The sequence below is a fragment of the Homo sapiens genome, chromosome 12 (genome assembly GCF_000001405.40).
Source record: "Homo sapiens chromosome 12, GRCh38.p14 Primary Assembly".
Taxonomy (NCBI): Eukaryota; Metazoa; Chordata; class Mammalia; order Primates; family Hominidae; genus Homo; species Homo sapiens.
Window position 1 is genome coordinate 30,953,733 of NC_000012.12, and position 22,596 is coordinate 30,976,328.

The 22,596-nt window shown below is 51.4% G+C and overlaps 1 protein-coding gene across 6 annotated transcripts in view, besides 1 other annotated feature; it reads left to right on the forward strand.

Annotated features, from left to right (window-relative positions):
- The window catches only part of TSPAN11 (tetraspanin 11), an 89,755-nt gene that overhangs the window by 26,985 nt on the left and 40,174 nt on the right, over positions 1-22,596 (forward strand). For 5 of the 6 annotated variants that reach the window (XR_001748709.2, XR_001748710.2, XM_011520679.3 and 2 more), the window contains exons 2-3: positions 249-343; positions 10,094-10,285. Coding sequence is in view for 4 of the 6 variants with exons in the window: in XM_011520679.3 (XP_011518981.1) it covers positions 260-343; positions 10,094-10,285 (276 nt within the window). In the remaining 2 variants the exon portion in view is untranslated. The remainder of the gene's footprint in view (positions 1-248; positions 344-10,093; positions 10,286-22,596) is intronic. The other variant, NM_001370301.1, reaches the window with a different exon arrangement.
- Positions 11,099-11,599: an enhancer, noted in NCBI's record as "H3K4me1 hESC enhancer chr12:31117766-31118266 (GRCh37/hg19 assembly coordinates)". NCBI's record gives its function as "activates a minimal SCP1, AML or CMV promoter by ChIP-STARR-seq in naive H9 embryonic stem cells {active_cell/tissue: H9 hESC(naive)}" and the evidence as "EXISTENCE:reporter gene assay evidence [ECO:0000049][PMID:30033119]".

A 22,596-nucleotide genomic window follows, 5' to 3' on the forward strand; every position in this document is an offset into this window, starting at 1 on the left:
TTAGACCTTTGTCAAGAGGACAAAACTGACATCTAAAGGTCTGGAAGATTCTGCCCCAATTCACCTCTATTTGGTCTCCTTAGCAATTCCCACATCTTTGCTCCATGCTGCACATGCAGAGCCTCAAAGCCCCCGGCAGATAGGTTAATGAGCCCTTTGAAGGGAGCCTTGCCAAGATGCTCTGGCTCTGGGAAGGACAAGGTGGTTCTCGGTGATTCCCCGGCCCAGCATATGTGTCTTCTCTGCAGGCCCAGAAGCCATGGCCCACTATAAGACTGAGCAGGACGACTGGCTGATCATCTACTTGAAGTATTTACTCTTTGTCTTCAACTTCTTCTTCTGGGTGAGTGAATTCTGCACACACATCCTCTTCCCCGAGCACTGAATGAGTCAAGCCACCTTTTGTTTTTTTGTGTCACCACTTTGAGGTTGATATCTTCCAAATCAAAGATCAACGATCAACCATGGGTGAATTCTTCCCACTTTAAAGCAAATATGTACATTTGCTACTGAGAAAGAAGAAAAGAATTGGGTCTGCAGGTTGGCATGGAGTTTGTACCACATGGCATCTGAATAGAGGCACAAACATAACAATAGGCTTTGTGTTCTAGCCCTGCTGTACAAAGGGTCCGGTTCTTTCTTCCCCACTAACTTGTTGCACCAGCGCCTTTTGGAAAATGTGACTGCCTGAAATAATAACTTGTTTTCCACTGAAATCCATTCACCTTTCATGGTTAACATTCTCCAGGCCCAGGGCAGAGAAACAGAAGTCCTGGAGGCTCCAACTACTGCTGCCTGTGATGAAAATAATCTCTATGGCAACTCTCCTCAGGAGCCTGCCTGGGTGAGGTCTTCCAGAGGAGTGTAGTCTGTCCACTTGAAGCAATCATCTGGGTAATTGGGAGCAGAATACCATCAGTTCCCAAAAATAGACACTGGAATATATATATTTGTTATTACAGTCTCACTAAATTTGAGAAGGTAGAAGAGTGACAAGAGTGCAGGCTTTGCAGGCAGCTGTACCCATGCTCTGCTGACTACTAATGGTGGAGCCTTGGGCAACTTACCTAACTTCAAGGAATCTGCTTCCCCAGCTGCAATTCAATGATAATTTCTAGCCTGTTGGGGTTGCATTCAGTAAATGCAGTATTTTGAATATATTAGATGTCAAATGCCTGAAAATACCACCAAATCAACCCATGATAAGGCATAGCTGGGCTTCCTGCTACCATGGTGAGGGAGAAGACACTTGACAGAGTCTTAGAAGCATCTCAGAAAGGCAAATGCAGAAGTGGGGGACATGTCTGAGTTTTCAGGGTCTTTCTTGCAGGGGCTTGCTTAAGATTGGGAAAGACCATGATGTGAGAGTTTAGGATGGGTAGACATGGCAAGGCAAGAGTTTTGAAGAGTCTTGGAGAATAAACCAGTCATTAGATGCTATCTGTTAAAAAGTTGTGCGATCTGCTATTTGTTTAAATGTTGTTTGCAAAGTTCCTGAAAGGAATAATAAAATAATTTGTCACTTTTATCTTCCTGGGCAAGAGTTTCCTGCAATAGTGAAGTTGTGATGATGAAGATGGTGCAATAATAAAGCTGTGTTGATATGGATAGTAAACTGTGTGGTAGAGATGGTTTCCATTCTGAGAGACAAATCCAATAGGATGATTAGGATTCTTGCTAAGTAAGCATTTCTTTTTAAGAGTAACTATTTATTTCCTGATTATAAAAGTCTTATGTATCCACTACAGATAACCTCTAAAATATTAAAAAGTATCGTAAAATAAAAATTGTTCTTATCTCATTAAGTTCATTTCAAAATGCCATAAACTGGATGGCTTCAAACAACAAAAATTTATTCTCTCACAGTTCTGGAGGCTAAAAGTCAAAAATCAAGGTGTCACAGGGCCAAGCTCCCTATGAGACTTGGATAGAATCTTTCCTCGCCTCACCCCAGCTTCTGGTTGTGGCTGCTGATTCTTGGCACTCCTTGGCTTGTGGCTGCATCACTATAGTCTCCAAGGCCTCTGTCATCACACACTGTTGTCCGTGTGTGTCTCTGTCTTCACATGATGTTTTCTTCTTACAAGGACACCAGTCATATTAGATTAGGGCCCACCCTAATGACCTCATCTTAACTTGATTACATCTGTGAATATCATATTTCCAAATAAGGCCACATTCACAGGTACCAAGGGTAAGGATTTCGACATATCTTTTGGGGGACCCAGTCCAACCCAAACCACTGGCCACCCCAGGAACAGCCTCTGTTGACATTCCCTCTAGACTTTGCTTTGATCAGGGCAGGAGACGGTGGTGACTTACATTGTGGGAGTGTCAATGGGGATCTAAATATTTGCAGAGAGTGAAGGGATTTATAAGGTGAAATTGTCAAGATTGGGTCCTTAACCTAAAAAGGCATCTGGGACATGTGGATGGTGGATGGTAGAGCTCTTCATTGTAAACAAGAGACCAAGGTTCAGCTTCAGTCTCCAATAGCGCTGGCTTTAAGACTTTTGGGATCTTGTCCCATGTAAGATATACACTGAAGCATAAAGAATAGTTACGTGGAACATTGTTCACCAAAGTAAGCTTTACGCTTATGGTGTGTGATGCACTCAGATATTTTTTTCTATTTTGATTCTTTCCTTCTTTTCGTTTTTAGTGCAGCTTACAACCCACTAAACTTATATCACAACCCTAATGGGTCACATTCCAAAGTTTGAAAAATTCAGAGCCATCTTCACCTCCACCTGAACGAGGGCAGACTTCAGGTGGCAATCCTTCCCCATCACCCTGTCCCTCACTCCCACCTCCCCCTGGCCCCTGCCACCTAGAATTTCAGTTAAGCTGATGTCGATTGGATGATCCTACAAAGCAGGGAAGGAACCAAAAACGCTGACACTTTCATGCCTCCTTTGGGACCGTAAAAGAAAATGTGGTCCAGGGTTTCCTCTGTGGCCACCCAGGAGATGTTTCTTTCCCCTACCATTTTCTTCCATGGCTCCCTACGGTGCCCATCGCCCCTGCAATGGTGTTCTCTAACTTATTATTTTATTCAGCTGCTTGGCTGTGTTAATAATCAAAACGTTTCTAGCCCCCCAGGCACTCTGTCAGGCTATGGGGAGCACTGAGGAAGCAGCTGCTCCCTTGCCTGGAGAGGCTGCCTCTGCTCCAGAAGCTGTGTCCTGCCCTTGAGCATTAGCTGAGGCCTTGGTATTTCCCCGGGGACCGGGGATACATGGGGCTAAGACAGGTGGCAGAGAAGATGGAGGACTTGAACCCCAGCAGGGGAGTGCGATGACTTGAGAGCATCACTTCAGGAGTCAGGGAGGCCGTGGGAGGGAAGCACCTTCTGCCGAGTCTCAAAGCCCTTCTCTTCGTACATCAACATCCCACTGAACGTGGCTGCTGCCCACCTTCCAGGCTTGCCATCTAAGAAAGAACAGGTGATGGCTTTTCTGCTGCACCCCTTTTTGAGTTGCTGAATGGCCTGGGACCCCCCCCCCCCCCACACCATGGTCTTCTGCCCCTCTGTGCTGCCAGGATCTGCTGGGAGACAGGGTCACAGTCGAGGGGGATATGCATTTGGTCTGCACAGTGCCGTGGCAGGTGAGACAAGTCAGGATGAAGCCTGGGATAACCCCTTCTAGCTGCTCTGCTGTAGCTCAGGACTCTAGGCCTGCTGTAGCCCAGACACCAATGACTTGCTTCCCGGCCAAGCAGCTTCATTGTGGGTCAGCAGCCCAATTGGTTAAATGGGCACTAAACTGAGCATTAGGATTCCTAATTTCCGCTCTCCATGCTTCCTTTGGCTTTCTTGTGTGACTATGGAAAAGCCACTTCTCTCTAGGCCTTGGTTTCTCCATCCAGAATATAAAAGGGGTTGAAATCAATCAATCCCTCCCTCCCTCCCTCCCTCCCTTCCTCCCTTGCTTCCTTCCATCCTCCTGTCCTGCCTCCCTCCCTCCCTCCCTCCTTCCTTCCTTCCTTCCTTCCCTCCTTCCCTCCCTCCCTCCCTCCTTCCTTCCTTCCTTCCTTCCTTCCCTCCCTCCCTCCCTCCTTCCTTCCCTCCTTCCTTCCTTCCCTCCTTCCCTCCCTCCCTCCCTCCTTCCTTCCTTCCTTCCTTCCTTCCCTCCCTCCCTCCCTCCTTCCTTCCTTCCTTCCTTACATGTGTAGCCCTCTGCTAGGGATATTAAGATGAACGAAGTTTAATCAAGAGGCTAAAAGAGGAGGCACACAAGGTAACCAATAAAATAAATAGAGTATGAGTGTAACTATGGAAACGTGCAAGACCTGGAGTTGGTACAGAGGACAGAATGATTTGCTGGGAGAGGGGGGCAGGGACAGCTCCAAGGAAGGTTTCCTCTGGGCTCTGAGCTGGGTTTGGAAGATGAACAGGTGATCTCATGTTCCCTCCCAGCTCCACCCCTCAGTAAGACTCATGAGATTTTGCTCTTGTTATAGGGGTAGATGGGACTGGGGAAGACAGCAGAGGAGGTAGTGTTCTGATTTATTTTATCAAGGGCTCTTTAAAGCCAGAAAGCCAAAAACAAGGATGCCTCAAAGTGGGAAATAGCCCTTAGCATAACAAGCCTATCCTTGAAGATTCCATAAACCAAGGCAGCAGGAGCATGGGCAGAGCTGGGGAGAAATGCATGCCTGGCACTCAGAGAAGGTCATTCATGAGGAGGGTGAGCAGCAGCACCTGATGCACGCTTTCATGTGCCCTCCTGGAGAGCTCGGCATTTTGGGCGTGGGACTGGGGTGCCGTCCACCCTGCCTGCATGTGGGTATAGGGCTCAGCTGTGCTCTCTCGGGGCTGCAGTCTAAGGTTCAGCTGACTCTTCTGATGTGGGAATGGGAAGCCATTCTGTAAAAGAAACTGAGTCTTGTTCAGACCTGGTCTCCCAGTCCTCTCCCTGAGCCCCCATGCTGTGTTTGCTCCCCAAACTAGACCCATTCACTTCTCCGTCATAGCAGAAGTCACTCTGGTGGTTACTAAGTCAGGTCTTTCAACCCAGTGTCCTACAAGTGATCCTGGGGCAGGGGCAGGGGCAGTGGCAGTGTCAGGCATGGGTCCCTTGATGGCCCAAGAGCGTGGCATCATTGTAGCAGGTGCACAGTGGGTATTGGTTGAAAGAAAGTATGAGAGTAACCAAGCATCAGTCTGACCTTAAGATACCGAGGGCGCAACCCCAGCCTTTCCAGGAGCCTCTTCTTAATGACCCAGAGAAAAAGCCTATTCCTCTCTGGGACTACTGGGACTTTGTGGACTGCCCCTTTAAAAATCAAAACAGCCATAAAGCAGGAAAGAGAAACACTAGCTGTTGCCCCAGAAGCTCGGCAGACAGAGGCAGGTAGGGGAGCAGATGCCATTTCCACAGCCCTCTACAGAGCCTCATCCACTGAGTCTCACACTCACTGGGGCGGCTCCCGGGTACCAGGCCGTGTGCTGGGCCGCGTTCTGAGGGGAGTGAGGGGACTTTCCCTGCCCCAAGTGTCAAGGGCTGCTGTGAGGTGAGCAGCACCACAGGCATGCAGGAGAGGGATGAACTCACCTGCCCAGGACAGAGCAGGTGCCACACTCAAAATCTCAAAATGGGCCTTAGAGGGTGTGTAGGAGTTCAACGGAAGAGAAAGGGCAGAGAGAACAATGCGTGAAAGGTGGGCAGGAAAAAGAGAGAGCCTCCCTGAGGCCCACAGAGGCTGTGTTGCTTATCCAAATCCACACAGCCAGTAAACAGAAGGCTTGGACTCGGACACCGCGCCACGCCCTGGAGTTCACGCTGTTTACCACTCTGCTAATAGTGCCTGAGTTACTAGGTAACCACACTGTTTTCAAGAAGAAGCAACTACTTAGTTCAAAGTGATTAAAACCCAGGAAAAAAAATACAAAAATTAGCCAGGCGTGGTGGCGCGTGCCTGTAATCCTAGCTACTCAGGAGACTGAGGCAGGAGAATCGCTTGAACCTGGGAGGCGGAGGTTGCAGTGAGCCGAGATCACGCCACTGTGCTCCAGGCTGCGCGACCGAGTGAGACTCTGTCTCAAAAAAAAAAAAAAAAAAAACCGAGGTGTGGGGGGAAGAAAGTACCAGAAGATGATGCCAAAAAGTCAGGTTAAGGCCAGACAGTAAGAGCACCGAGGCCATGCAAAAGAGTTTTTGGGCTTGGTGCCTGGGGCATGGGAGCTGGTGGGGACTTCTCAGCCGGGGGTGCCTTGGGGGATCAGCCTGTGGGCGGAACAGGAGCCAGGAGCCGGGAGCCAACTGAGGTGGGGAACCGAGGTGGACAGTGTGGCGGGGAGATGGAGACAGGTTTGAGGGCAGAGGGGAATTGGCACATGGTTGTCATTGAGAGAAGGAGGAGCCTACAGTGACCCTGTGGTGTCTGTGGGTGGGTGGGTGGGTGGGTGATGGCGCGGCGCCATGTATGAGACTGAGCAGGGAGGAGGAGCACAGATGATGAGTGTGGTTCCCATGGGTGAGCTCCTGTCCAACCCAGAGACTTTTCAGTCCAGTGTGGGGCTTGGCATGTAGCAGGTGGCCAGTAAACACAAAGTCTACTATCACCCTGTACACTTCCCATCACCCTGTGCATTTCCCGCATCCTGAGCCATGGGCTCCTCCTCACTGAGGGTGGAGAACTCCCCTCCGCAGAGGATCCTTCCTTATTGGGATTCAAGTGTTCCTGGCTCCTGCCCCATCCCTTTCCTTCCTTCATTGCAGAAGCCCTATGGTAGCGAGACAAAGAAAAACGCCTACATTTACTTTTATACCCTCTGCCTGCTTTCCTCCAGGTCTGCTGCCTTATTTCTCTCGGCCCCTCAGGCATGTGCAGCCACTCAGGTTAATGCTTCACCCCATCATGTTTCTTTCCTATGAACATAAAGTTCCTAAAATTACACAACAGGGGTGACCTGCTCCGCCCCTCCTGGCCAGCTTGCATCCTTGTCGCCTGGCTTCACCCTCTGCAGGGCTTGCTGGCTAGTCGGCCACAGGCTATGGCTTTGAAAAATGTAGTTATTGCCCAGGCGCGCTGGCTCACACCTGTAATCCCAGCACTTTGGGAGGCCGAGGCAGGTGGATCACCTGAGGTCAAGAGTTCAAGACCAGCCTGACCAACTTGATGAAACCCCCTTTCTACTAAGGATACAAAAATTAGCCAGGCGTGGTGGTGCACACCTGTAATCCCAGCTACTCAGAAGGCTAAGGTGGGAGAATTGCTTGAACCTGGGAGGTGGAGGTTGCAGTGAGCCAAGATCGCACCACTGTACTCCAGACTAGGCGACAGAGCGAGGAAAAAAAAAAAAAAGAAAAATGTAGTTATTACCCTCATGGAAAACCACGCTAGATTCTGTAAAGAGCCAAATACTGTTGAATCAACTGTATGCCAATGGTTGTTGAATAGTTCACTGGGGTCAGATCTCTCCCCACTCCATCAAGTCCCTCTTCCTGCCTCTTCTGCTGCTTTCTGCTGACTTAGGCAGTTTCCAGGCGGCTTGAGTGACAGCCATGAGCCATTAATTCAGAACCATCTTGCCGGAGGTTCTTTGACAGAAGCTTGACTTCTGGTACCAGCAGGGACAGTTTAACCATATGGAAGGGACCTCAGATATGGTCCCATCCAGTGCCCCCAGTTTACAGATGAAGAAACTGAGGCTTAGAGGGGCTGCATATCTGTCCCACAATCATGTGGTTAGTCAGGGACACAGTCAGAACTAGAACCCAGGCTGCTGACTTCTGCCCTCCCGTGACCCCCTCTGGTGACCCATCCAACAGTGAGCAGTGTTAATTTTCCTGTCCAGAGAAAAGCTTGTTTTCTAAAGAGATGACCATGTCCCAAGCAGGTCTTCCAAAGGAATGAAACCCTCTCATTCCTTACAGCTAAGCCTAAGGACTGGGACGGGGTGGAGGCTCTCAAAACATTAGATCCTGGGGAAAAGTAATCAAAGGGGTTCCCAGTAGTTACAGGTTGGGAACCACTGGTCTAATACAACTCCCTGATTTAAGAGATGAAGAAGCTGAGGTCCGGAGAGGTTAAGGGACTATGTTTAGGTCACACCGCTAGTTATGCAAAGTTGGGACCCTCACCCAAGCCTTCCAGGCATGCTGAAGGGGGCAAAAAGAATTCCGTGCAGGATATTTGGCTGCAAACCCTCACATTACACAATTTTATTGACCTAAACTCAGGAAATCCCTCACTGGTCATGGAGGTTGTGTGAGCCGCAGATAACCTATACCCACAGATAATTTTAAAACCTATTCTAGGATTTCATTGAATCTAAGATATCATCAGTGGTAAGACACACTATTGTTTTTTGTACCACTAAGAAAAACTACTGCCAAGTACAATTATAAAATACCATCAGTCATAAGATACATCCCAATTTTAGAGATGTTAAAATGTGAGAGAAAAATGTGTGCATCACGGAATTGAAGAAATCTGCGTGATAGCCACTCCCATTCTGTTTGCTGTAGCCCAGATGGTGTCCTTCCACCTGGCTCTTCCACCTGGTGGAGGTGCCAATGGAGATTAAATGGCACTTTGAAGAAATAGTATCTATTAAAAACACAGAGTAGAGGAGCAGGCCCAGCCCAGTCTGTGGGATCTGGGGACAGAGTCCTGGATTTGCTCTCAGGAGACATGGGGTTGAATCTCAATTCTAAAACTCATGGTGTAATCTTGGGCACAGTCTTATTCTCTTCAAGCCTCAATTTCCTCATCTGCAAAATGCAGAATATGTGCCCTGCCACCCTGCCCCATGCTCACAGAGCTGTTGCAAAGCTCAGAAGAGAAAATGGTAAATACATGTTCGTTTGCTCAACGGATGTCTGTGACTGCCCAGAACAGAGAACTGGGAAATGACAGGGTAGGTTATATGGAGTCTTCCTGGGGCAGATGGGGAGCTCCTTTCAGTGACAAGGCTCAGGGGGCATGGACAGAGCCCAGGGCACTTCTCTAGCTTTGACCACGCCCAGGACTCCTTGAGGAAGCATCCCACACCCATTAGAGAAAAGAGACCCATCCTTAAATGGGGGCAGGGAGACTAGCGGGCAGAAGTCCACATTCCCAGGAGCAGATGGCAGAGACGGTCAGAGGTCCCAGGGGTCCTGTCCCCAAATCCTGGGCAAACACCCACATACTCCCCATCTGGCACCCTGAAGATGCTGTGCATGTGTGCATACACACACATTATGCCCTTCTGGGTCCAACAGTCACAGAAAGAGTTACTTGGCTTCATTGCAAATAGAACCAGCCAAGCCGAGCCATCCCTGCTATATTTCCCAAGTACTCCAGTTTCTAAGGAGGCATCCCCCTATCTGCAAATCAGGAGGGTCCTATCCCTCCCCTCTTCTCAGGACCAAAGGGGAATCAGACAATTAGCAAAAAAGTTTCTCCTCCTGCAGTCCCAGGCGGCTCCAGCCTGTCAAGAACCCTGACTCTTCAATCATGGAGGCAGTGTGACTGAGTGGGCAGGCCCTGGGCTCTGAGTTCTCCTCCTGTCTCTGCCCCTAACCCTGCCCCCAACTACAGGCAGGACCTTGGACAATTTACCTTTCCTCCGTGGGTCTCAGTTTCTTCCTCGTAGAGTAGGGATAAAAAGCCCAGCTGTGCTTCCCCAATGGGCAAACATAAGGATTAAACAAGGGGCGGTGCTCGAACGAGCCCCACCAGGGAAGTGCGGACAGAGGGAAGAAGTGCTCTGAAGGGATAGGAGCCAGGGGTGGCAGGAGTTGGGGAGGTGAAAAGTTGGAGAAGCAAAGGGACTCAGATACGTTGATCATCCCTGAAACTGCAGTCCTCTCCCCTGGCCTCATACGCAATAGGCCACCAGGGTAAAAAGCACCGAATTCACAGTCGGACCTGGATTCAAAACCTGGCTCTGCAGGTTGCTTACCTTGGACAAGTCTCCTAACCTCTCTCAGCCTCGATTTCCTCATCTGTAAAATTGGGTAACCATACCATTCTCGCCTCCTTTGGAGGACTGAATGAGCCAGTGCAAGAGAAGTGCCTGGCACCCTGTGGGCACTGAACGGATAGCAGCTGCCGAGGCCCCCGCCACCCCCTGCTCTAACCCGGTGGTCTCCTGCAGGTCGGGGGAGCAGCCGTCCTGGCTGTGGGCATCTGGACCCTGGTGGAGAAGAGTGGCTACCTCAGCGTCCTGGCCTCCAGCACCTTTGCCGCCTCCGCCTACATCCTCATCTTTGCGGGCGTACTTGTCATGGTGACCGGCTTCCTGGGCTTCGGTGCCATCCTCTGGGAGCGGAAGGGCTGCCTCTCCACGGTCAGTGCCCGCCCTGTGCTCTGCAGGGATGGGGAGCCCTGCACCACCCAGTCAGGTTTCCAGCAAGTGAGAGGGGCCCCAGCCCTGGAGTGGGAGGGGCTGAGGCTGTGGGAGTGCCCGAGAAGGGGTGGCTGCTCCTGGGTCTGGGGTTTGCCACGGTCTCCAGGTTCTTAGGACCCAAGCAAGCAGGCGTCTCAGTAGCTGCAGTGGCAGCTCCTTCTCCGTATCTCCATCTCTGTCTCCTCTCACTCCCCTTCTTCCTCTTCCTCTTCCTCCTTCTATTTCTTCTTCTCCTATTCTTCCTGGTCCTCTCCTTCTCCTTCTCCTATTCTGTACCCTTCCCCTCCTCCTTATCCCGTTTCCTTCTTATTCTCTTTTTCCTCCTACTTCCCCTTCTCCTCTCCCTCTCCCTCTTCCTCCTCCTCTTCCTCTTCCTCTTTCTAGGTTTTTTTATGGCAATTTTCAAAGATATGCAAAAATAAAGAGTGTTTTTCATGAAGCTCCATCTTCCCTTCACCCAGAGTTCAACAATTACCATCTCATAGCCGATCTTGGTTCCGTCCACTCTCTCACCTGCACCCTGCCCACTTCCTAACCCCAGGGTGATTCTGAAACAGTCCCAGACAGCATGTCATCTGTTAGAGTTTCAGTGTGTATCTCTAAACTTAAGGACCCTCTTCTAGAAAACATGATAACATTACCATTATCACACTTTAAAACAATTAACAGTCATTCCTTAATATCATGAAATAACCAAGCAGTTTCACATCTTCCCAGTTGACCCATAAACTGTTGTTGTTGTGTTTACATTTGAGTTAGAATCTAAATTAGGCTCGTGTGTTAAAATTGGTTGCTTATCTCCTACGTCTCCTAAAGTGAAGGCCCCCAGAGTTTGGGTTTTGAGCTCTTTTTCAGCAGGTGGGACAGGTGTGCTGAGAGCCAACCATGCCACCACCCACCCCCACATGGGGCCTACCATGAGGATTTCCAGCAGGGTGATGCAGGTCGGTCAACTGAGGTCCTTGAGAGCCACGTAGCACATCCCAGGTCTGACCAACATAGCTGGATGAAGGCACGTGACGTGACTGAATAAAACCAGGCATGTAGCGCAGCCCGGGGATGTTCCCTCTGTGTGGCACTGACCAGCCATGAGGCTTATGGGGATCAGTGCAGTTGGGCCCAGAGAAAGAACCCCTCTCCTCTGCAGTGTCGGCAAGCCTGTTTGTGTCCTGTCCGGCTCTGCACCTGTTAGCAAGCAGGGCCTTCAGCCTAGCCTCAGGCTTCAGGCTGAGCCTCTGGCCCTCACGCCTGGAGGTCTGCCCATGAGCAGGCTGCCAAGCCACGTGCTCTCACCTGCCTCCTTCCTTCCGTCGGGTCATCTTGTTTAGAGAGGACAGGACTCACCTCTGGACAGCCCAAGAAAGAATACAGAAGCCCCCACCGAGCGCCTTCCTCTGACCCAGAGCCATCTGTCCTGCTTCTGTGGAGCCACTGAAGGCCAGTGGTCCCCTGCAGCACTGGGAAACAGGCCCTGCATTCCTCCCAGAGCCCAATTAGAACACAAATGGCCACTATTCACTAGAGCCACCTCCCTCTATCCTCACTACAGCAACCTGCAAAGTCCCGGTAGTCTGAACTCTGTGCCGAGCAAGCGCTGCACTTGACATTCATGCACATCAACTCACTCAGTCCTCGCCCTGCCCCAAAGAGCAGCAACTCTTACTCTGTGTATGGACGGGGAAGAAACGGAGAGCAGAGGCAGGTGAAGCAATTTGCCCAGAGTCACCTTGCAGTTGTGTTCTTTTAGGTGATGGTCAGTCAGGTGTGGCCACAAGAGGGGGCACAGGAGAGGCACAGGACAAGAGAGTTTACCAGACTCACAGGTCCTAGACCAAGCTTGACCAGCCCGTAGCCCACGGGCCGCATGCAGCCCAGGACAGCTTTGAATGCGGCCCAACACAAATCCGTAAACTTTCTCAAAACATTATGAGATTTTTTTTGTGATTTTTTTTTTTTTTAGCTGATCAGCTGTCGTTACTGTGTTTTATGTGTGGCCCAGGGAAGCCAAAAGATCAGACACCCTGTCCTAGACAGATTCACTGCACACAACAACAGGAGGTGGGGGTCACACGGGCGGAGAGCCAAAGACTAGGGCTCCCCCAAGCAGGCAGGGAACAGAGAGTGGGTGAGACCCTTTCCTTGGGGGTCAGGGTAGAGCCATAAGAAAAGGCAGGAGGGGATTCCGTTGGTGCATTTGAATGTCACTAGGTCACAGTCAGGGGAGGGTAGCAAGGGGAACTTGTAGCAGAGCCAGCCCTATCACACTGGTGCACCTGGTCACCCCAGCAGGTGCGCACAGTCTGCATGTAGGGATGTGGAGGCAGAAGAAAAATGCGAAGTTTTAAAATGCATGATACACACTGCTGGTGAGTGGCATGCAGTCTGCCTCCAAGCCCACGCTCTGACCCACCACACTCTTCTGCAACCCAAGAGGTCATATTCACCCCCATTTTCCAGATGAAGAAACTGGGCTGAGATGTGGAGCAAGTAATGGCTGGAGCTGGACTGTGCGTTGCTGTCTGTTGGAATCACCTCTAAGAGTCTGCTTCCCTGGGGAGGAGGACAAGCCTGATGGGAGGCAGAGGGACCAGAGGCCAAGGGGGAGGATGTGTGCAGGGCACACCCTGCCCTCCATCTCTGGAGAGGTCTTCATGGAGCAGTGGCTTTTGGAGATCTGGCTGGTAACAAGGGAGGGTCCCCTCCAGCACCTAGCCCGGAACCCTAGGGCAAGAGACAGGGGTGTAGTGAGGGGACCCTAGAAGCCTCAGGCATCTCAGTGCCTCGTTGCTCCCATTATAGTAAGGAAAGAACAGCACACCTGGGTCAGAGTATATTCAGCTTAGAAGGGACCTTGAGGGTCACAGAGTCCAGTGCTCCATCCAAAGGTTACAGGCTGAAAGACACTGGGTGGGTGAGTGTGTGGGTCACCCAGGCATTAGTGGGAGACACTCAGAATTATTGGATTTTTTGGAGAATAGTGTAATCATAGGAGCGCTTCCCCTTGGCCATCTCAAAGGCCAGAAGGGAAGCCTAAGCTTTAGCACCTGACCACGCTGTGCTCTCCAAGCCACTGATCACAGCCTCCCATTCCACACTTCCTCTTACACCATCTGTTCATGAGATCTGTCCAGACATCCAGGCTGATCCATGAAGAATGAATGTCTTCAGCCTCTGTGTCTCAACCTGGCTGTCACTTAGTCTGGATGGCCTGCCCAGAGGGAACCAAGCCCTGTGCCCAGAGCATGTGGGAGAGATGTGGAGAGTCAGTGAAGGTCAGGGCCTTGTGCTTGCCCAAAGCCTTGCTGGGCACCTCTTGCCCTACCCTTCTGCACTTCGGGGAGTCAACAGGCAGTGAGCCTTATCCCTCTGGGGCTTGAGGCAGAGAGGGGCACAGCAGCTGTTGCACAGGCTGGTGCAAGATTCCCTGCTTCTTCTCAGCTCCACTTTACCCTCTTCTGTAGAGACTTGCCTGCGTTCACTCCCATCCCACACAGAACTGGTGATCTCTCTGGTCCAAGTCACTAAACAGACACATCAAGGAGGCAACAGCTTGAAACTGAGGTCAGAAAAAAGTGTGCATGCACGCACACACATTCGTGCACACACATGCATATGCATGCACACACATGCATATGCACGCACACATGCACTCAGCCACCAACGCAGGACTGTGGAGACAGGCATCTCTGCCAGGGCGCTAGCAAACAGCAAACTCCATGGCCTAGAATCTGCTTTCTTTGCTTTATCTGCCCCTCTGTGAAAGAACCAATGACAACTGGCCCAAGGACAGAGCAGGAGGTAAAGCTGGGGATCCTGAGTAATCCACATCCTGGCCCAACAGCCCGTGAAGCATCGAGCACTTGATTGTTTAAACCAAGAAGGTGCCTGTACAACCTTTCTTGGGCTAACACAGGTAGGAATTTTAAAACCCAGGCTCCCATTTAGAGTCAAGTGGTGTGGTTAAGGCAGTGTAAAAGTGCTGTATGGCTCTTAGCAGTTCCTTCCTTGTTTCATTTCATTTTGTCCCCTCCATGTTTAACTTCCATTTGAAATCTTGAATCAGCTGACAGGTGAGGGAAGCTCCAAAGGAGAAGGGCAGTGAGTCTATCACTAGACCAAGTGGTCCCTGAGGAGGAGAGGGAAAGATGAAAGACCAGGCATCTGAATGATGTGCAACTACCTTGGATCGGGAGTAGCAGGGGAGGAGTTCCCAAAGAATGACCCAGAGGGGGACCATCCAGCTTCCACACAGGCACGATGTCTGTCCTGGCACAGCCCTTCCTCCTAGCTCATCTGCAGCTCCTCAAAGTCACTTTCCCAAGAAGGACGTGGCCGTCGGGGACAGAAATAGCACATCTCTGCTGGTGCTGAAATGATGATCAGCTTGGCATTGGAAATCTGCCAGGCAGGAACAGGAATGGGGCTTAAATTATTCACACCAGATCTTTTTTAGCAAAGCCTGCATGAGAGAGATAATTCAGGCCATCTGAGCCTATGGTCAATGACCAGAACAGAGGCCACCTAGATCAAAAGAAAGGGATATTTTTAGAGTTGTGAATGGGGGCTCTGAAAACTTCTATATTTTAAGCCAAATGAAGATCATGGTGGATGATTCAGACTAAACTGGGTCTTTATTGGGAGTTCTTTTCTATTTAGGGGATGGATAAAAAAGTAAGAAGTTCTAAAAACCAATTTCTAAAACAAGGGGATCCAGAATTGCCACACCTCCATCCAACAGGCCAAGACGTGGTCAACCAGGGCACTAAAGTCCACAATCAAAGGTGAAAATATATGGGCTCGGGTTCAAAAGCTGGTTTTCGAGTACCTTGCCTAGCTTGCTCTGGGACCTCGGGTAAGTCACTCAGCTTCTGCCTGCCTCCTTGTGTTGCCATTTTATACAGGATGATGTGTGAGGATAACGAAGAAGTATTTTCAGGTCCTGGGAAGCAAGTCACCACATTATAAAAAGATGGTAAAAATGTGGCTCTAATGAACATTCACATCACTATTGCCGTCACCATGACCAAGCTCCCTTAAGAAGGAACCTAAATAAATAAGAGTTATTCTGAGGGCCATGGCTCCCAGGGCCCTGCAGCCTGAGCTGGGCCACATCCTCTGAAGTAGCTGGCGCTGGTGGGAAGTTCAGGGTGAGGAGAGCCTGAGTCCCCATGCCTGGAAACTGGACTGTGTCCTCCCTGGCTCGTTTCTTACCTACACATTCTGTTATGTTGCTCCATCAGCCACCCAGCTCCAAGGTGGGCCTTGCCTCATCTGTTTGGTGGCTCTTTAACCTTTGAGTCAGCTGCCCCCACCATTCTATAGCCAGGACTTGGGGAACCCCGACCCCTCTCCAGCATGAGTCCTTTCCTCATCCAGCGTGGCTTATGCAGTGCAGGCAGGGGAATGGACCAGGGGACCTCAGAACCCTGAAGGCTCCTTGGGAAGCAGGATGCAAACATCCTGAAGAGCTGACCGCTCAAGAGACTCATAGGGTTTGTGTTGACATCCATCCTTCTCGGGATGCAGCGGGTGTACCTGATCACCACAATCCAGCAGCATTGTCTTGATGGGGTGGTTCTATGGCCAATTAGCTTCCACCACCACCTCCCTCCGATTTTCTGCAGTGGATGTTCCATATTGCATTGATGGGACTGCCTAATTCATCAACATCAACAAGCATTTCCAGCACATTCCTGGCATGTCCTGCTCTGCTGGGCACAAGGCAGGGTGAGAAGGGGAGGAGGGAAAAAGGGACTCTGACCCAGTTCTAGGCTTAGAGTCTAGTGAGGAACATGAGGCGCCTGTATTAAAAGGCAAAGGACCATGCGGGCAGTTTAAATTTGTATTGGATTTGGTCAGAGGCTCTGACCTCTCTGGGCTTTCCCTAACTTCCAGGCTGCCCTGTTCCCTGGAGCCTGGTGTCTCCTTCTTGTTCTTTGTCCTCCCCTCTGTTCTTTGTCCTACCCTTGCCCCTTGCACAGGTGCCTTCAGGCTGTACTATCTCTCCCACAGCCTGCAAGAAGACAGCCAATGGGAAAGTCTGGGTAATTCCAGGGCACTGGGAGGAAGTAGCAATTGGTCACTTTCCTCATGCCAGAATCCGCTGAACACCATCATCCTCTGAGTTCCCTGTGCCGTGTCTCCCTGTTGGGGGTCTGGCCCTCATTGCCCCAGCCAGCTGGCCAGGCCCTAATGCCCAGTCTGGGGGCTGCTCTCACTCAGCCTGTTCAGACTGGGCTCTCAGTAGTCCCAGCTTGAATCCTAGTAAATGCCTGTCTTTGGCTTGGAGTTCTGAAACTGTGTTCTCCTTCCATGACCCTCACCGCCCACTGGAACACACACAGTGTGATCTCCTTAGACCCCCAACATTTGGGCTGGGACATTGAAGGGCCTCAGCCACATTTTCTTGATGTGCCTCTAGAAGACTTGCTGCCTCCCCAAGACCCAGTTTTTTTCCCTCCCTGCCTCTTCCAGCATGCCCTCTCTCTGTCCACCGGCTCTCTGCACCCTAGCCCTGGCCCCCTTTTCTGCTCCCAGAACCACAAGTCAGTATCAGACATTGGCCAGAGCACATTCTTGAGCCCTCACTGTAAAGCCACTTCCAGGTGAAATGGCTGAATCCCAACCTTTGGCGTGGTTGCAGCTGGACAACCCAGGCGCTGAGCCCTGGGCTGGGGCCAGGAGGGGTAGAGGTTACCTCCATCCTTCTAACAGTGACACTTGGTTACAGGAATGGCTGAAGGCTCCCAAATCCACATCCTCTCTTTTCTGCACAAATGGGCCGGGCAGCTGCACCTCTGAGCCCACTGCAGTTAATGGTTAATTGCCAGAAAATAATTCCCCCTAGGCTGTTGCCACTGAAACAGCTGGCTTCACTTTTCCTGTTTGGCGGGTGGTTCTGAGCTCCCTGACCCTCCCTCCGGCTTCCTCTGTAATCCTCTCACACACAGAGCCAGCTGGGAGCCTCGGGCTGGGCTCTCCTCCCTGCAACTTAACCTTGGCAGGGTCTTGGGTTTTCTTTGGCTGTTGATGCCCTGTTCTGAGAATAGGCTAGTACCTGCCTCTCATCCCAACCTGCCTGGACTGCCTTGACTAGATATGGCTTGGCAGGAAGCTTCACAAACCCTATCTCTAATTATTCAGAATGGCTGGAGATACAGAAGAGGAATGCTTCAGTGAAGCTCCCTTCTTTGTGGCAGAATCAATCCAATGGAGAAATTTTGAAATTCCAGTTTTATAAAGTTCTTCAAACTTACCTCAAAGATGGCACCAGCTGATGCTGAGCTGCCCTGTCTCTTATGCACCAGTGAATGTGCCCCAAAATCTCTATCTGGGGCTCAGCTTGCCCGCAAGCGATGTTAAGTCCAACCCTCAATTTCTGGCAGGACATGGTGGCTCATGCCTATAATCCCAGCACTTTGGGAGGCCAGGCTGGGAGGATTGCTTGAGACCAGGAGTTTGTGACCAGCCTGAGCGATATGGTGAGACCCTATCTCTACAAATAAATAAATAAATAAATTTAATTAGCCAGGCATGGTGGTATGCACCTGTAGTCCCAGCTACTTAGGAGGCTGAGGTGGGAGGATCGCTTGAGCCCAGGAGTTCGAGGCTGCAGTGAGCCATGATTGTACCACTGTACTCCAGCCAGGGTGGCAAAGCAAGACCCTATCTCAAAAAAAAAAAGAAATAAAAAGGACTCAATATCTAATTACTCACCTTAATGTCACAGTGAAATATTTCTGCATATTTCCTGCAAGGCCTCGTGTAAAAAAAAAAAAATTGGTTTGGTTCAGAGAGTACTATGCTGTTCTAGCTTCACTTTGGATCTATAGTTTTAGAAAATATCCAGTTTTGCTTCTAGTTTAAACTGTTCCATTAAAGAATTAATAGGAAATAAAATCGCTTTGCTACATGGGGAAAGATGAATATTTGGATCCCATTCTATGCTTAACACACTGCTCCAGCTTGGCATATTTTGAAATGGGATAGTTTTTATGGAGGACTCTGGGGCAGATGCTACAGGAGCTTTCTTTGGAATTCTCGTTACCTGTTTCCGTCAGACCACAGGGGATCGATTTTGGAAGGACCGGCAGCCCTGGACCTGCAGGGGCAGACCAGTCACAGAAACCAGAGTGGAGCTGGAGGTCAGTGGGATAGGTTCAGGTCACACCAAGGGCACAGGGACCATGAAGGCAGAACCAGGTAAAGATCAGAGCCAGGAGGGCAAGCAGGGATCAGCGTGTACACAGTCCCAGGGAGCGAGACAAGCAGGGAGGCCCCAGAGTCAGGGAAGCTCAGAAACAAGGATGCTAACAGTGAGACCATGGCTCAGAAACTTCTGGCTCAGGGAGGGCTTCATGGAGGCTGTGCCTGAGCTGAGAGTGTTGGTGGCTGAGCAGCCAATAAGTAGAACACAAATGGGGTTGGGGTAGGGAATTCCAGGCAGGAGGAACAGCGAGAGCAAAAGGCACAGAGGCTGGAGGCTTCGTTGTGCACGGTTCTGTGTGCACACACAGGAGTGTTTCTCAGGCTTGTACAACAGTGCCTTACCTAGCTTCTGAGGTAAGAGCAGGCTGGGTTGAATAAAGTGAAGGGCAGAGGGGGCAGAAACAGGCATTAGAATCCATGGCCATGAACCCAGGATGAGCCAAGGGGTGGAGTAGCAGGGAGGAGCAGGTGAAAGTTGCTCTCGTGCCATTCTTGGCAAAGAGGAAAGCCGGCTGCGCAGGGGGGAGGTGGGGGGAGGGCCACCTAGATTATCTCTTGCCTGCCCCACTGGTGCCCAGGACAGCTGGCAGGGGACTGAACACAGGGCAGTGACGGATGCTTATGCGCCCAGGGAGGGCTTCCCTGGGCTTCCTTCTATTCTCTCCATCTTCACCTACTCATTCCTCACCTCTCCTGACACTCTGTCCTTTGCGGAGGAGCACTGACACCCCTGTGTTCACCTGAACCATACCTGCCCTAAAATGCTGAATCCACCCTAAGTGAGCCCAGTGAGCTCATCCGTCCATCCCTCCCCCATTTAGTGGGGACAGTACCATGCAGCAGGTCAGAGCACAGGTTCTGCAGCTGGAACTCCTGGGTTCTGTTCCTCGCTCACCACGTACTTGCTATGTGACCTTCAGCAAGCTACTTAGCGTCTCCAAGCTCCTGTCCTCATCTATAAAGCGAGGCTGATGCTCGTGCCCATGTGGCAATGTGATGAGCAATGCTAGTACTCATCTCCAAGCGTGGACAGGAGAGACCATGCAATGTGCTTGCAAGGGGGGCTGGCACCTGGGAAAGCTTGTACACGTGGGCTGTTACTGTTACATGTGGGTACCATGTGCTAGGCTAGGCTTGGTGCTCCAGGGCTGTGCAGATGAGTAAGGCACTGCCTCTGCCAAGAAAGGGTTATTTTTTTTTCTTTTGCTGGAAGGGATGCCTGTCTATTGCTCCCACTACAGAAAACCTGCCTGCCCTCTCCTCCTCTACTAAGTTTTGAGAAGCAAGGCCAGCCTGCCCTGAATTGGGGTACTGCCTCCTAAGCCATGGGCCAGTGATTCTGGAGGCTCCCTGCAGAGAATTCTGGGCTCTATTGGTGGAGCGGGGGCCCTCTCTGGCACAGTGAGCTAGGAAAAGCAGGACACCATGAGGTCCTGTGAATTCTAACTACATGGAAATATGGGCTGAGAATTTCTTATTACTGACTTTTGTATAATAATTCAAAAAGCAATACCAAACCCAACTTAAGGCAAAAGGTGTTTCCAGAACCTTCTTGATGCTTCCTAGAGTCAACCCTAACACAAACCTTATGGCGTCACACCCCTCCCCAGCTCACTGAGGCAACTGGAGGAAACCACAGCTGCTTCAGAAAACAGGTGATCCCCAAGGAAACACTGAGAGCTCTTGGGTTGTACCTGGCCTCATGGAATTCCCTCATGGAATTCCAGCCCCGGGGTCCCATGGGGATGTGAGCTGAAGCAATATAGGCTTCCCTGATCCTTCCTTTTGTCAAGGCAAGTAGCCTTCTGCCGCAGAGGTGCCCTCCCAGGCAGGTACAGTGCTGCACATGCTTCTGTCCATGTTCTGTTTCCAGCTCTTCGGGAGCTAGGTAACATTCCTTGGATCTTATTTTTGTGGCTCCCACAGTGCATAGGGACACATACGCAAATCAAGTCCCAGCATCAGCCTGAGAACCTGAAGGTAAATGTGTGACCCAGGGTTTTGCAACCTCGGCACTGCTGGCATTTTGTGCCAGATAATTCTTCACTGCGGGAGACTGCCCTGCACCCAGTGGGATGCTTAGCATCCGGGCCTCGACCCTCTAGATACTCCTTTTGCCAAATACCCACTGGTTGCAAAATTGTGCCAGGTTGAGAACCACTGGTGTAAATTTAACTAAGGTAACTGTGCTATGCTACTCTCAGATCAGAAAAAGATTAAGCTACTGCCCGCAGCATGGGGCTGGTTATGCTCCAGCCAGTTTCTGCTGTCTCATAGGTGTACTTTATTAGAAAGTGCACTCCTGCGTCTTTATCAGGGGATGTCTGCTAAGCGTTATGTCTAGACCCAGCACCATACCAGGCACTGTGGAGGAGCCAGAAGCAACCTCAGATGTGGTCCCTGTTTCTCCGAAGCTCACAGTCATGCTAGGGGACAGAGTGGTAACACCTGAAGCAAGAGCAGTGCTACGGAGCAATGGGTAAAGTTGTGTCACTCATCCGGTGATGACCTACACTGAGGAACCGCACGGCAGGCGAAGGGGAGGGACACAGAGGTGAAGCCCAGTCCAGCTGAGGAGAGAAGGGCAAAGCAGAGAGTGCAGGTGTCAGGAGACAGCAGATGACGCGCTGCAGGCATTCAGACGGTGGGGAGTGGCAGTTGCTCCTGCCCAAGGATAGCCTGGTGGAGCCAAGACTGAGCCGAGCTGGGTGTGGAAGGACAGGTAGGCACCAGCATTCCAGGCAGGGGGACAGGCAGGGCAAAGGCCCAAAGGCTGGACGCTTGGCCTGTGTGAAGAGAACTGTGTGCAGCAACACCAGGAACACTTTTCAGCTTTGCACACAGAGCCAGCGTGTGCCGCAGGGGCCCTGAGATGATCGCGCCGGACCCAGGGAGTCAGGAAAGGCTGGGTAAGGTGCAGGGTGGAGGGGCAGAGGTGACAGGTCTGTCAGAGCCCATGACCTCACCCGGCTGAAGTCCCAGCATCTTGATGAGGGACCCTTTGCCTGCCTCCTGGGCCTGTCACACACCTGTCCAGGTGAGTCACACACCCGCAGCCTCCCTGCTGTGGAAGCTGCTGCCTGGAGCCAGCACCTGTGCCCACCAGCACCCGGCCTCAGTCCCCTTGAAGCCCCAGGCCAGGCCCTCACTCCCCTTCCAGGCATCTTAACACACTGGAGCTCGAGAAGGCTATCCCCACACACCACCGCCACTGCCAAGCTCTCTCCCCTCCTCCTGACCACTCCGCAGGTCAGATAGCCTGTTTGATGCCTCTGAACCAGCCTGTGCAGGGGTAGCATGTACTAATTTAGCCAGCCACTAAACCAATGGGTGAGGTTCAGTATCTCTACCTCCCCATCCTCCCTGTTCCCCACCCCGTCTTCAATAGTAACTGGGGCAGTGGCTTCCCCCGAGAAGTGGCGTGACACTGCCAGCTATCCAGGAGTATCCTACGGGCCTGACTCACAGCTCACAGTGGTGGTGGAGAGAAGGAAGGTGGAGAGATGCCAGGATGTGGCTCTCCTAGCTGCCAGCAGCCTGGGTGCTCCTGTCAGGGGCACTCCATCACCTCTTCCTCCCATGCCCCAGAGGTCTCTGGGAGCCACTGGCATCAATGCCTTCAGGTCCTGTGCAGCAGGAGGGATCCGGCCTCAGCACCGTAGCTGAGGATGGTGGAGGGAAGTTTGGAGCAGGCAGGAAGGGCACGCATGTCAGAAAGGAGCCGCAGGGCCCAGCAGCGCATGGCAGGGGAGAGCCCCTGAGTCAAGGAGACTCAGAAACAAGGATGCCTCACCCTGGGTGGGGTGAGGGTGAATGTGTAGCCATGCTCTGTCTGATGGGCCGGGCTTCTCCCAGGGGGATCACACTCTGGCATGGGCTGGCTACGCCTGCCTCTGGCTGACAGGGACCGTACCCCTCATGCTGTGGGACCTGGAGCTCTGGGAGGGCAGGAGGCGGGTTAGATCACTGGAAAGTACATTTCCCCCTCGTTGGGTCCTCCTTGTCCCTAAACTTTGCGTCCTACACGAGGGGACCAAAGAAGG